The 12461-nt window shown below is 44.5% G+C and overlaps 1 protein-coding gene across 1 annotated transcript in view, besides 5 other annotated features; it reads right to left on the bottom strand.

Annotated features, from left to right (window-relative positions):
• Positions 1–1772, bottom strand: part of PRKAR2B (protein kinase cAMP-dependent type II regulatory subunit beta) — a 117107-nt gene extending 115335 nt beyond the window's left edge. The window contains exon 1 of the mRNA NM_002736.3: positions 1263–1772. Within this exon, the coding sequence (NP_002727.2) occupies positions 1263–1569 (307 nt within the window). The 5' untranslated portion in view covers positions 1570–1772. The remainder of the gene's footprint in view (positions 1–1262) is intronic.
• Positions 1379–1673: a silencer, noted in NCBI's record as "tiled region #8060; HepG2 Repressive non-DNase unmatched - State 4:PromP, and K562 Repressive non-DNase unmatched - State 1:Tss". NCBI's record gives its function as "represses a minimal TATA promoter and a strong SV40 promoter by Sharpr-MPRA in HepG2 and K562 cells {active_cell/tissue: HepG2 | K562}" and the evidence as "EXISTENCE:reporter gene assay evidence [ECO:0000049][PMID:27701403]".
• Positions 1379–2019: a biological region, named in NCBI's record as "Sharpr-MPRA regulatory region 8060".
• Positions 1460–2019: a silencer, noted in NCBI's record as "silent region_18536". NCBI's record gives its function as "represses an Ori minimal core promoter by ATAC-STARR-seq in GM12878 lymphoblastoid cells {active_cell/tissue: GM12878}" and the evidence as "EXISTENCE:reporter gene assay evidence [ECO:0000049][PMID:35858748]".
• Positions 5508–5719: a silencer, noted in NCBI's record as "fragment chr7:106681203-106681414 (GRCh37/hg19 assembly coordinates)". NCBI's record gives its function as "represses an EF-1alpha promoter that drives an FKBP-Casp9 reporter gene in an ReSE screen in HepG2 liver carcinoma cells {active_cell/tissue: HepG2}" and the evidence as "EXISTENCE:reporter gene assay evidence [ECO:0000049][PMID:32094911]".
• Positions 10677–11112: a transcriptional cis regulatory region, noted in NCBI's record as "candidate enhancer chr7.4050 targeted for multiplex CRISPR interference". NCBI's record gives its function as "positively regulates PRKAR2B gene expression with high confidence in K562 cells {active_cell/tissue: K562}" and the evidence as "EXISTENCE:mutant phenotype evidence [ECO:0000015][PMID:30612741]".

Here is a 12461-nt window from a genome sequence, read left to right as displayed (position 1 = left end):
TTGGAGAAACTAAAAATACACTAATTTTATAATCCATTTCAACATGTAATCCTGCAAAGAAAAGAAACATCTTCCTAGGAGCATACACAAGGAAATGAAATGACACTTTTAAATGTTTTCATTTTATGAAATACACTGCGGACACACAAACCACAAGCAGTGTAAATAAATAAAAGCTGGTGCAATGCTGCATGCATGTTTGCCTTACACCACAAAGAGAAAACACTTGCACACTGCACTCCATGGTATTTTAGCTTGGGTTGCCATAAAAATGAGATTTGGGCATGTTGTGTAATACAAGGGGCTGTAAATGAGGGTGTGTGTCTGGGTGTGTTAGGGAAAGAGGGTTGTAAGCAGAAGGGGTGGGACTTGCCAGGAGCAGCTATTTGAGAAAATTCCTTTTTCTTTCCCATTCATTCTTTCTAGCTCTACTGTCTGGCACAATCCTTACAATTACTCACTGGCTTTTCATTCTAAAGACAACCAACAAGCTTTCAGAACTTCCTACAGTGTTTTTCTCATACACTTTTAAAAAAATAAAGCACCAAATCATTCAATATGTCTTTTATATAAAAAGCAAACCATTAACCCATTTCCTCGTTCCAAAGACCCCCGTGGGTTTCAGACTAAATAGAATCCTTTGTTACGTGTCCAAAAATAACACAACACGGTATTGGTAAATTGGAAAATAATAGATAACTCTTATTTCCAAGAATGTCAGAGCTACTGGCCATAAATTTTGTTCTGCCCCAGTGAGTCCAATTTCATGCTTCTTTTAGCGAATCTACCGTCCTAACAACAGTAAAGCCAATCATATTAAACACGGTTCTCCTTTTCTCTTTCGACATTCCATTAATAAATACAAGGGCTGAAAGAAGACGCCAAGCGGGCCAGTTTCTTTATGCACAATGGTATCCTCTAAGCGAAATACCTCCAACCACAGCGAAAGTTGTCTTTCTAGCAGATGCCCACCCCAACCGGCCCAGGCAGAGGGGGCAAAGGGTAAGAGGGAAGCGTAACATCCCAGCTCTCCCACCTCTAGAGGAAGGGAAGAGGGTATGACAGAGAGCGGAGTAGGAAGGTGGGCGAGTGGGAGAGACAGAAATGGATGCTGAGGGGGTGGGCGAGATGGGAAGGTAGGGAAAGGTGGAGAATGCGGGGAGAGGTGGGTGCGCAAAGCGGCAAGATCCGAGAGCACAGCGGGGAGCGGTGGGGGGCAGCGAGGGGATCCGGGGGCGCGAAGTGGGGGGTCTGGTCCTCACCATTGAACGCCCCTGCGTCCGCGGGCGCCGCCTCCTCCTCCTCCCCGTCCTCGGAGTCGGACTGCATGGGCTCCTCGGCGAAGTTGACCCCCTTGCTGGGGGTGCCGCCCCCGGCAGCGGCGCCCAGGTCCCCCCAGGTCCTGCCCTCATGGCCGAAGCGCGCGGTGCCTTTGCGCTCGTTCTCCTGCTGCAGGCGGGTGAAGTGCTGCAGCGCGAACTCCAGCAGGTCCGCGGGCTGGTGCCTCAGCACCTCCACCGTGAAGCCCTGCAGCAGCTCCGTCAGTCCCGCCGGGATCTCGATGCTCATCCTGCCTCCGGGGCGGCAGGCGCCTGGGCGCCGCCCTCGCCCCCTCCCCGGCACGGCCTAGGGCCCCGCGGCTGCCGAGCGAGCGCCTACGGCGCTGGCGCGCTACCGGCTGCGAGCGCGGCGCACTGGGCCCCGGCGGCCCGGCTGGCCCGGCCCGCGGCTCCCGGCGCGCGTCTGCTCCGTGTGGTGGCGGCGGCTGAGCGAGCGCGGCCCCGGGAGGGCTGGCAGCATCTCCTGCTCCTCCCGCTCCAGCCGCGGCCGCGCCTCTCCCCCGCCCGGGCGCCCCGCCCCCGCCCCGCCGCGGTGCGCGGGAGGGGGCGCAGGAGAGCGCGCCCACGTGACCCCCGGAAACCATGGCAACCTCCGCTGGCTGGCGCCGCGCACCCGCCTGTCAGACCACCGCAGGGCTGCGCGCCCGGGCCGGGAGAGGCGGAGGGAGGCCCAGCGAGGCCGCCTTCGTGTCCACCTGTCCGCGCGTCCAGGAGCGGGCTGGCCACTCGCCCCGCTTCCCAGGCGTCATTCGCCATGGTGAACCCCCGCAGAGGTGGTGCCAGGAGATTTGTCTTGAAACTTCAGCCTCCACCTTAGTAGTGGCATTTTATTTTCCTTCTAGAATCTAGTTGCATGATAAGTGTTGCTAATGTCCTTTGTTTAAAGTCTTATGGTGGTACTGGTTCTCTTTTGGACAAAGAAATGCTACCCCATCTTTGTGACGTCTTTCTTTTTCTTCCCCACATTTTATCCAGCCTTTCCCGATCCATCCTGTTTATTATGTTTCGTCTTACTGATGCTATTCCGTTGTGCACTCCACGCATTTACTATTTATTGAGACAAAGGCACCATTTATTGAGAGGCACCTATCAAAGTTAGTTGATCTCTTTTAAATAGGATAGTGCAGGATGAGGCGCTTATTATTTTGAAACTTTCCTTTATGCTTTGAATGATTTTTGACTTGTATGTCCAAAAATTGAAATACTTCAGTATAAAGAAAAATAGAATTACTAATGTGTGCTTTTAAAGTAGAAGGCTTTGACTTTGAAATGAGGCTTACTTTGCAAATGTTTACAATTTTGAAGTAGAGAAAATTGTCTTTTGTCAATTAAATTCTATTTAAGTACGCATACTTCATTTTCTACAATTATCATATCATTGTAAATAAAATATTTCAAGAGCAAGCTCACTTGGTTATTCTGATTTATCTTCCCACCCACGGAAGAGTAAACACATGACTGGGGAAACTCCAAGTCTAGAAATCAGAGATGTAACGAACTAGTCCCTCTTGTAAAAATGGATCTTGATGTTAACCCTTTGTTAATGATGCATCCTGTATTGACTCCATGAGCCAATGTATTTCTCTATTTTCATTTCTTAACAACTTTATAGTAATAATGTTACGTTGCTTTAAATATACAGTAGTTAAGTGCTTCTAATTGTGTCGAGCATTTTAAGAATTAAACTTTTGGCCGGGCGCAGTGGCTCACTCATGCCTGTAATCCCAACACTTTGAGAGGCCGAGGTGGGCGGATCACCTGAGGTCAGGAGTTCAAGACCAGCCTGGCCAACATGGTGAAACCCCATCTCTACTAAAAATACAAAAATTAGCGGGCATGGTGGCAGGCACCTGTAATCCCAGCTACTCAGGAGGCTTAGGCAGAAGAATCGCTTGAATCCAGGAGGCGGAGGTTGCAGTCAACCGAGATCGTGCAGTGCCGTTGCACTCCAGGCTGGGGGACAAGAGTGAGACTTCGTCTCAAAAAAAAAAAAAAAGAATTAAACTTTTATAAAATATGGTGAGCCTCACATGTCACCGGTTGGAGCACAATGTTAGTACTACTCTCTACCGTGTAAGCATTATTATTTTTACGGATCTGGTAATCTAAGATGCATGTGTATCACCTGTCTAAATTTGTGATAATATTTGTATTAATTATGATAAACACTGCTCACATGTGGCAGAAAATGCGAAATACAATAGCTTAAGATTTATTTCTCTGGAATCTAAATGTGGGCAGTTCAGAGTTGGTATTGAGAGGTGATAGCGTGCTGGCAGTCCTCACAGCCCGCACTCGCTCTTGGCGCCTCCTCTACCTGGGCTCCCACTTTGGCAGCGCTTGAGGAGCCCTTCAGCCTGCCGCTGCACTGTGGGAGCCCCTTTCTGGGCTGGCCAAGGCCTGAGCCAGCTCCCTCAGCTTGCGGGGAGGTGTGGAGGGAGAGGCGCGGACGGGAACTGGGGCTGCGCGTGGTGCTTGTGGGCCAGCGCGAGTTCCGGGTGGGCGTGGGCTCGGCAGACCCCGCACTCGGAGCGGCCGGCCGGACCCACCGGCCCCGGGCAGTCAGGGGCTTAGCACCTGGGCTAGCAGCTGCTGTGCTCAATTTCTCGCAGGCCTTAGCTGCCTTCCCGCGGGGCAGGGCTCGGGACCTGCAGCCCGCCATGCCTGAGCCTCCCCCCCACTCCGTGGGCTCCTGTGCGGCCCGAGCCTCCCCGACGACCGCCGCCCCCTGCTTCACGGCGCCCAGTCCCATCGACCACCCAAGGGCTGAGGAGCGCAGGCGCACAGCGCGGGACTGGCAGGCAGCTCCACCTGCAGCCCCAGTGCGGGATCCACTGGGTGAAGCCAGCTGGGCTCCTGAGTCTGGTGGGGACGTGGAGAACCTTTGTGTCTAGCTAAGGGATTGTAAATACACCAATCGGCACTATGTATCTAGCTCAAGGTTTGTAAACACACCAATCAGCACCCTGTGTCTAGCTCAGGGTTTGTGAATGCACTAATCGCCACTCTGTATCTAGCTATTCTGGTGGGGACGTGGAGATCCTTTGTGTGGACCCTCTGTATCTAGCTAATCTGGTGGGACATGGAGAACCTTTGTGTCTAGCTCAGGGATTGTAAACACACCAATCAGTGCCCTGTCAAAACAGACCACTGGGCTCTACCAATCAGCAGGATGTGTGTGGGGCCAGATAAGAGAATAAAAGGAGGCTGCCTGAGCCAGTGGTGGCAACCAGCTCGGGTCCCCTTCCACAGTGTGGAAGCTTTGTTCTTTTGCTCTTTGCAATAAATCTTGCTACTGCTCACTCTTTGCGTCCACACTGCCTTTATGAGCTGTAACACTCACCATGAAGGTCTGCAGCTTCACTCCTGAAGCCAGCGAGACCACGAGCCCACCGGGAGGAACTCCAGATGCGCCGCCTTAAGAGCTGTAACACTCACCGCGAAGGTCCGCAGCTTCACTCCTGAGCCAGTGAGACCACGAACCCACCAGAAGGAAGAAACTCCGAACACATCCGAACATCAGAAGGAACAAACTCTGGACACGCCACTTTTAAGAACCGTAACACTCACCGCGAGGGTCTGCGGCTTCATTCTTGAAGTCAGTGAGACCAAGAACCCACCAATTCCGGACACAGTGTGGTACTCCATGATCATCAGGGACCCAGGCTCCCTCCAGCTCATTGCTCTATGATCCTGTCTGTGGTCCAAAATGGCTGCTCCAGGGCCAGTCATATTTTAGCTAAGAGGAAAGTGAAAAAGAGAAGGGAAGCTCCCCTCCCCTCCCTTCCTTCTAGGAAGTTAAACACAATTCCTCTTCTATCCTCTTGGCTAGAACTTAGTCAACATGGCCACACCTTTGGTGTGGCAAATTGCATTTTCCAAAGACGGCTACAACAATATCTCCTACAGTGTGGCGTGGCCACTACTCACTAATGAATTGAAGTCTTATTTCCCCTCCCCTTGAATCTGAATGTGCTTGTGATTTCTTTGACCAATAGAACATTGTAAAAGTCAAGTCAGCATGATAGAAGAAGCCAGCCCTGTACTGGATGCCCTGGCTGAAGCCTTGTTCCACAGAATCTGTGAGCATAATAAAAAGGTTGTTGTAGGCCTCTAGGTTTTGAGATAATCTGTTACACAGCAATAGCAACTGAAACCAATGGCTATTAGGAAAGTTTGGAAATGTAATATTTATTTTGAGCAGTCACGTGCCAAGTAAACATTTGGGAATTAAAAAGAACCAAGTCTGGACGGGCACAGTGGCTCACTCCTGTAATCCCAACACTTTGGAGGGCCAAAGAGGGTGGATCGCTTGAGCCCAGGGGTTCGAGACCAGCCTGGGCAACATAGGGAGACTCCATCTCTATAAAAAAATACAAAAATTGGCCAGGCTTGGTGGTATACATGTGGTCGTAACTGTTCGGGAGGCTGAGGTGGGATAAGCGCCTGAGCCCAGGGAGGTCAAGGCTGCAGTGAGCTGTGGTTGTGCCACTGTACTCCGGCCTGGGTGATAGAGTAAGACCTTGTCTCAAAAAAAAAAAAAAAAAAAAAAAGTCTGGAGATAATTATCAATCTCTGCCACAATGTCTAATACCTTTTCCCTAGGAATGACAAAATTAAAAAAAGCACTACTTTTCCAAACATTATTAAGAGCCATATCTTGTTAATGCCATTTTGTGTTTCCAAATTCATTTATTTCTTCTTGTAGATTTATTATATGAAGCATGGTAGATAGCTCTCTGTCATCAACCACAATGCCAAGGTTGTGTGGTTCTCATTTCTTTAAGAATATAGCAATGATTTCAAGCATGAAATGCGTAATTGGATTAGATGACCTATATAGTCTTTTTCATCCTGAGAGATTTACAATAGTATAATACTAAAACAAGACTTATTGGACTTGAAACATCTTTGCAAACAGCTCTTTGGTAATTTTCATTTGCATCAGTTCTTAAATCAATAACCATGACCTGAAAAAGTAAAGCTTGGTCCTGATATTCCCATTACATTAGCATTGTTCTCAGAACAAATGTTCACTTCTCAAATCATATTCTGGCTTTTATTCACTACCACATAACCTTTTTGGTAATATTTTATGATTTCTTTTGCTTTCATTTTCAGAATATTTCATTTTGAGCCTTTTGAACAGTGGCTTATGGGAACTATGTATCTCATATTCCTTAAAAGAGCATCACTGATACTGATTCTTTGGTTGTGGATTTGCAAAGCAATTTGCACCAGTTTCTCAGAGAATCAGACTGGAAGCAATGGCAAATGAACTCTGAGAGCTCAGCATTGAAATGAAAAGAGTGCTATCAAATTTGTTTTCACACCAGGAAATTAAACAGACCCATCAACTTGCTTATATGTAACTGCCAAAAAAACAAAGTCAATGGCTTGGGCAAGCAGTACAGAATAATAACTATGACCAATCAATCATGCAGCATTTCCTGTCAATAGTTAAGGTGTTTCCTGATCAAGTCTCTGGAGTGCAAGAAATATATACCCACTCAAGGAAAAAAAAGGAGGCAATTGAGAGGATACAGGGCCTGTTCTTGCCCAAGGCTGACTGTGATCATCAGCCTCAGTTTTACGTACCTTTAGCATTTCAACACTGACTACAGTTTTGGTGTCTCTGATTCATATTCTCAAGAGAGAATCAGGTTAGTTGGTCTTGACCATCTAGTAGATTGCCTGGCCTTGACTGGTCTAGTAAGTGTGGCCAGTAGGGTGCCAGATAAGGAAGTGGTCAGGTAGTATAAATACATGATAAGGCCTGCCTCTTCAGCAGAGGAAAGTCCCGAATATTGGGAACAGTCCCAATGTTATAGAGGTGGTACAGATACTTCACAACATGCCTGCTAAAAGATGGTCACCTCATAGCCTGAAAATCTTACAGACATTTGGACTAAAAGTAAGTAAAATGTTTAATCTCTATGTGCAACTTCGCAAAAGGGTTGCCGCTAGAAAACTAGTGATTCTCAAATTTTACCAAGCATCTGAATCACCTGGAGGGCTACTTAAAACACAGTTGCTGGGCCCCACCCCCAGAGTTTCAGATTCAGTAAGTCTGAGGTGGGGCCCGAGAATTTGCACGTCTATCAAATACTCAGGTGATACTTAGGCTGTAGGTCTCGGGACCACACTTTGAGATCCACTATGCTAGATTCACTAAGGAAGAGCTTATGTTCATGCTGAATAGGAAGCTGCTTGAAGCAACTTTTTTTGCTTAATATCAACGCATAAGTTTTTCTTTGGCTAAATCAGGACGAAATGTATACTCATTATTCTCCTTTAAGGAATCTTGCAAAGTTAAAGAGATTCTTAAAAAGCAACAAAGAATATGTCCTTAAACATATTTCATAAACAGAATATGGGTTTTCTATTAAGGACCACGTTGGACACAGAAGTTTATCTCTACTCCACTAAAATAATGGCTAAAGGAACACAGGAAAACTCAAACAACAAAAAGAACAGGAGAACCACAATACAAATTTAAAATAATTTTAATTTTTTTTGATTATTCAGCCTTAAAAGGAAGGAATTTCTGACACATGCTAGAAGACATTATGCTAAGTGAAATGTCAGTCACAAAAAGACAAACACTGCATGATTCCACTTATATGAAGTATCTAGAAAAGTCAAAATTTATAGAAAGAGAAAGTAGAATGGTGGTTGCCAGTGGCTGACTGGGGAGGGGAGAATGGGAAGCTGTTTAATGGGTAAAGAGCTTTGGTTTTGCAAGATGAAAAAGTTCTGGAACTGGTTGCACAACAGTGTGAATATATATAACACCGCTAAACTGTACACTTAAAACGATAAAGATAGTAAACTTCATGTTATGTGTACTTTATCACAAATTTTAAAAAAATTAATTCTTTAATTAAAAAAAAGAATAGGAAAAGAGACAAGAACAGATGAGAGTTGTCTACTAGAATTTTGGAACTAACAGCAAACTGAAGAATGCTGGAACCTAAGCCTGGGTGAAGGGTCAGTGAGAGCAAGCCAACAAGAAGCAAGATCACATCTGTATTACAGAGCACAGAGTCTGAAGACACCAGGTGTCTCTGGAGGGCTGGTAAGGGGTGAGGATTGGTTAAATGGCTGTAGAAAGAGCTGATAACACTGTCCACCCTCCAGCCCCTTCTCTATCTTATGTAGGCAAGTAATTGCTCTTCTTCATTCCCAGGGGGAAGTGGAGGAATTTATTTTCTAGAGAAGTTTACACAGCTTACTATGGGGATGAGATTCTATACTAAAAAGAGGAAGATTGATCCTGATTAGTGAGCTACTTATCGGTGGCCTCCTTCCCTTCTGGACTCCCCAAATTTTGGACAGACAGATGTATACCCTCTTAGGCAGGAAATTAGAGAATTCCTTTTTAAGGAACTGACCAGCCCAAGACACAAGACCTACAGTTGCTGACATTGGAGGGTCCCCATTGAAAAACTCAGGTCTCCGTGTTTTCACTCCATTGTGAAGTCCACTGGTCAGTAACCACCACCCCTCCGCATACTTTACAAGTATGAAATTGTGCAAGAATCCTGACTTCCAAGAAAACTTATTCATATGAAAGACTAGAATCAAGATAAATGAATTAAATACATAAAATCAAAGAAGTAAAAACTGAAGTGTGAACGGAAGAAAAAGTCAAAAAGTCAAAAAGGCATTTTTCTCTAACATACAATAATGATAACAATAATTCCTAACATTTATTAGATACTGTTCTAGATACTTTATATCTATTGACTCATTTAATTTTTACAAGAACTCTAAGAGATATATTATTACACTACAGATGGATAAATCAAGGCACAGAGAGGTTAAGTAATTTGCCCAAGATCCCATAGCTAGCAAATGGTACTGGGATGGGACCCAGTCTGGCTCTAGAGCCACTGTGCTATATTTTAAAGAAATAAGAAAGAACTTTTAGAAATTAAAACTATGACAGTAGATATATAATCTATAAAAGGGTCCAAGATAAAGCTGAAGAAATTACCAGAAAGTAGAACAAAATAAAAAATCTAGAAAATAGCAGAGAAAAATAAGAAAATTAAAGGATTTAATTTTTAACATTGAAAAAATAGTTCAAGAAAGAAGACAATGAGAAATGGAGAAAATTATTAAAGAAATCATACAGTAACTTTTCCTAGAATTGAATGATATGAATTTCCAGATTGGAGGGGCCCATGGACAGGCTTATGGGACAATAAATAAAAATATCCTCACTAAGTCCAGAATGCTGAAATTTCGGAACACTAACATAAATAGAAGGGTATAGAAGCTTTCAGAGAGAGGAAAAACAAAACAAGACAAAAAGAGACAAAACTAGAACAAATCACATCTGAAAGCTCAGGAATCAGAACATCATCAGACTCCTCAACATGGCACTGGTAGCTGGAAGACAATAGAACTAATATCCTCAAAATGCTGAGGGAAAACTATTTTCAACCCAAAATTCTATATTCAGCAAAATAACGGTAGACTGAAGATACTGTCAGACATGTCAGTTTTACATAATATAAATTCCCATTTCCCTTTGTCAAGAATCTAAGTTTTACCAAAACGAGGAGATAAACTGAGAAACAAGAATATACAGGCGCCAGTAAGCAGAAGGGAACTGAGACATGCTCCCACCATGACATCAAGTAGCCTACCCAAACCTGTTCCCACATACTTCACTTTCTGTCTGTTAATGTTCTGTCTACCTGTACTCCATTCATTCCCTCTGACCTACTCAAGGAAATTGCTCCTGCAGTTGTCACCTCTCTCTTCTGTGTCATCAATGTTTCTCTTCAATTGAGCCATTCTGTGGCAAACAAACTCTTGGGTGACTGCTTTCTCCCTGCTATTCAGGTCCTGTGCAATCCCCTTTCTTTCTTTTTTTTTTTTTTTTTTTTTTTTTGAGACTGAGTCTTGCTCCGTTGCCCAGGCTGGAGTGCAGTGGCGCGATTTCAGTTCACTGCAACCTCCGCCTCCTGGGTTCAAGCAATTCTCCTACCTCAGCCTCCCTAGTAGTTGGGATTACGTGTGCCCACCAACACGCCCAGTTAATTTTTGTATTTTATTAGAGATGGGGTTTCACCATGTTGGCCAGGCTGTTCTCAAACTCCTGGCCTCAAGCGATGCACCCACCTTGGCCTCCCAAAGTGCTGGGATTACAGGTGTGAGGCACTGTGCCTGGCCACAATCTCCTCTCTTGAGCATGAGTGATACCTGTAACTTTGTTCTAGCCAATAAAAAAAACAACAAAGTTGAAGGGATTTTGCAGATGAATTAAATGAATTGCAGTACCAAAGCAGTTTTTTTTTCTTTTAGTTAATTAAAAGACAGATTATCCAGGTCCTGACTTAATCAGGGGAAAGCCCTTTTAAGAAGGGAGAGATTCTCCTTGCTGGTTTGATGAAGTAAGCAGCCATGTTGAAAAAGCCCATGTGAAATACTTTCTTCACTTAGCTTTCATGATTCCACCTTTTCTTAGCTCTCCTCTTGTCTCCTGGCCACATCTTGTCATCTTCTTTACTGAATATGACTCATCTTCCTGACCTCTCAGTGGTGAAGCACTCCAGACATCTTTCTCTGCACTCACTCCCTGGGTGATCTCATCAAGTCCAGTGGCTTTAAATTCTATTTATATACTGATAATTCTCAGGATAGTGATGAAGGACCTGGGATAGCTGTGGTTCAGCAGGTCTAGAGATCATCCAGGTCCAACTGGAAGATGAAATCAAAGACATAGAGAAGGAAGTCCCCAAGAAAAAGGAAAGAAACTCATAAATTATCTCATGTGTTTGATTATATTGAGAAAAACTACACCTCTGGCAGAGACTTTGAGGAATAAATAAATTATAGTTCAGAGAAAACTAGGCGATTGAGGGCTGGGCACGGTGGCTCACGCCTGTAATTCCAGCACTTTAGGAGGCCGAGGGTGGGAATCACGAGGTCCGGAGATCGAGACCATCCTGGCTAACATGGTGAAACCCCGTCTCTACTAAAAATACAAAAAATTAGCTGGACATGGTGGCAGGTGCCTGTAATCCCAGCTACTCTGGAGGCTGAGGCAGGAGAATGGCTTGGACCCGGGAGGCGGAGGTTGCAGTGAGCCAAGATCACGCCACTGCACTCCAACCTGGGTAACAGAACGAGACTCTGTCTAATTAGAACAGTCTATGCCATCGGGATGCTGATTAGCAAAAGAATTCTACACCTGGGAATCTTGCTTCTTCAGTTTCACAAGTGACAATGGAGTAACTAAGTTGGAGATGGCGCCACTGCACTCCAGCCTGGATGACAGAGTGAGACTCTGTCTCAAAAAAAAAAAAACAAAAAAAGAAAACAAGGCAATTGAAAACAGTGCAGTCTACTTCAGGGAAAACAGAAGTTGAAAAAAATGGAAATAAAGTCATAGAACACTATGTGCCTTAGCAATAAGCAATATTTATGTAGTCACAACAATGAAAACAAGTATCAATACAACCAAAGAAGTGTGGTATGATTTAGGAGCAGAAAAGAGAAGGGGAAGATTGCATATGTCTGTGTGACTGTGTGTACTTTTCTGTGTGTGTGTATCTGTGTATATGTTGTGGGGGCACTAATTCTGATATTTCATAACAGGAAGTCAATGGAAATTCTAAATGAATCAAGAAATAAAAACATATGTATTATTTAGAAATATGTCATTAAATAGCAAGAGAAATCACTTACATAAGTGAAGGTGCCTTTGAGAAATGGGAATGATATACACACATCACTTTGATTAAGTTGAGGAGTATGGATTTCTATAGCAGGTACTAGGTTACAGGTGCCTCAGCATTTCTTACAACTCTTTCCTTTATTTCTGGGCATAAGGGTCCACATAGCCGAGATTTTCCAGTTGCTATTTAGTGGGTTAAACATTTAGTGGGAAATTCCAAACCTGCATCTTCAAGTTTTGTGAGTTTTAGAAATCAGAGGCTCTTAAGACAAAGAGCCACTTTTTACAGGGAAAAGTCTTCAGGGTGTTCTCTAAATACTCTATTTATTGTGTTTGTTTTATATTGTTTTGTTCTATTTCTGTGATTTTTTTCCCTTGATCCTCATTTTCTCTCTCCAACTTAGTTACTCCATTGTCACTTGTGAAAT

Source organism: Homo sapiens, chromosome 7, assembly GCF_000001405.40.
Source record: "Homo sapiens chromosome 7, GRCh38.p14 Primary Assembly".
Lineage (NCBI taxonomy): Eukaryota > Metazoa > Chordata > Mammalia > Primates > Hominidae > Homo > Homo sapiens.
The sequence above is the reverse complement of the archived record's forward strand: the minus strand, read 5'-3'. Positions and strand labels throughout refer to the sequence as shown.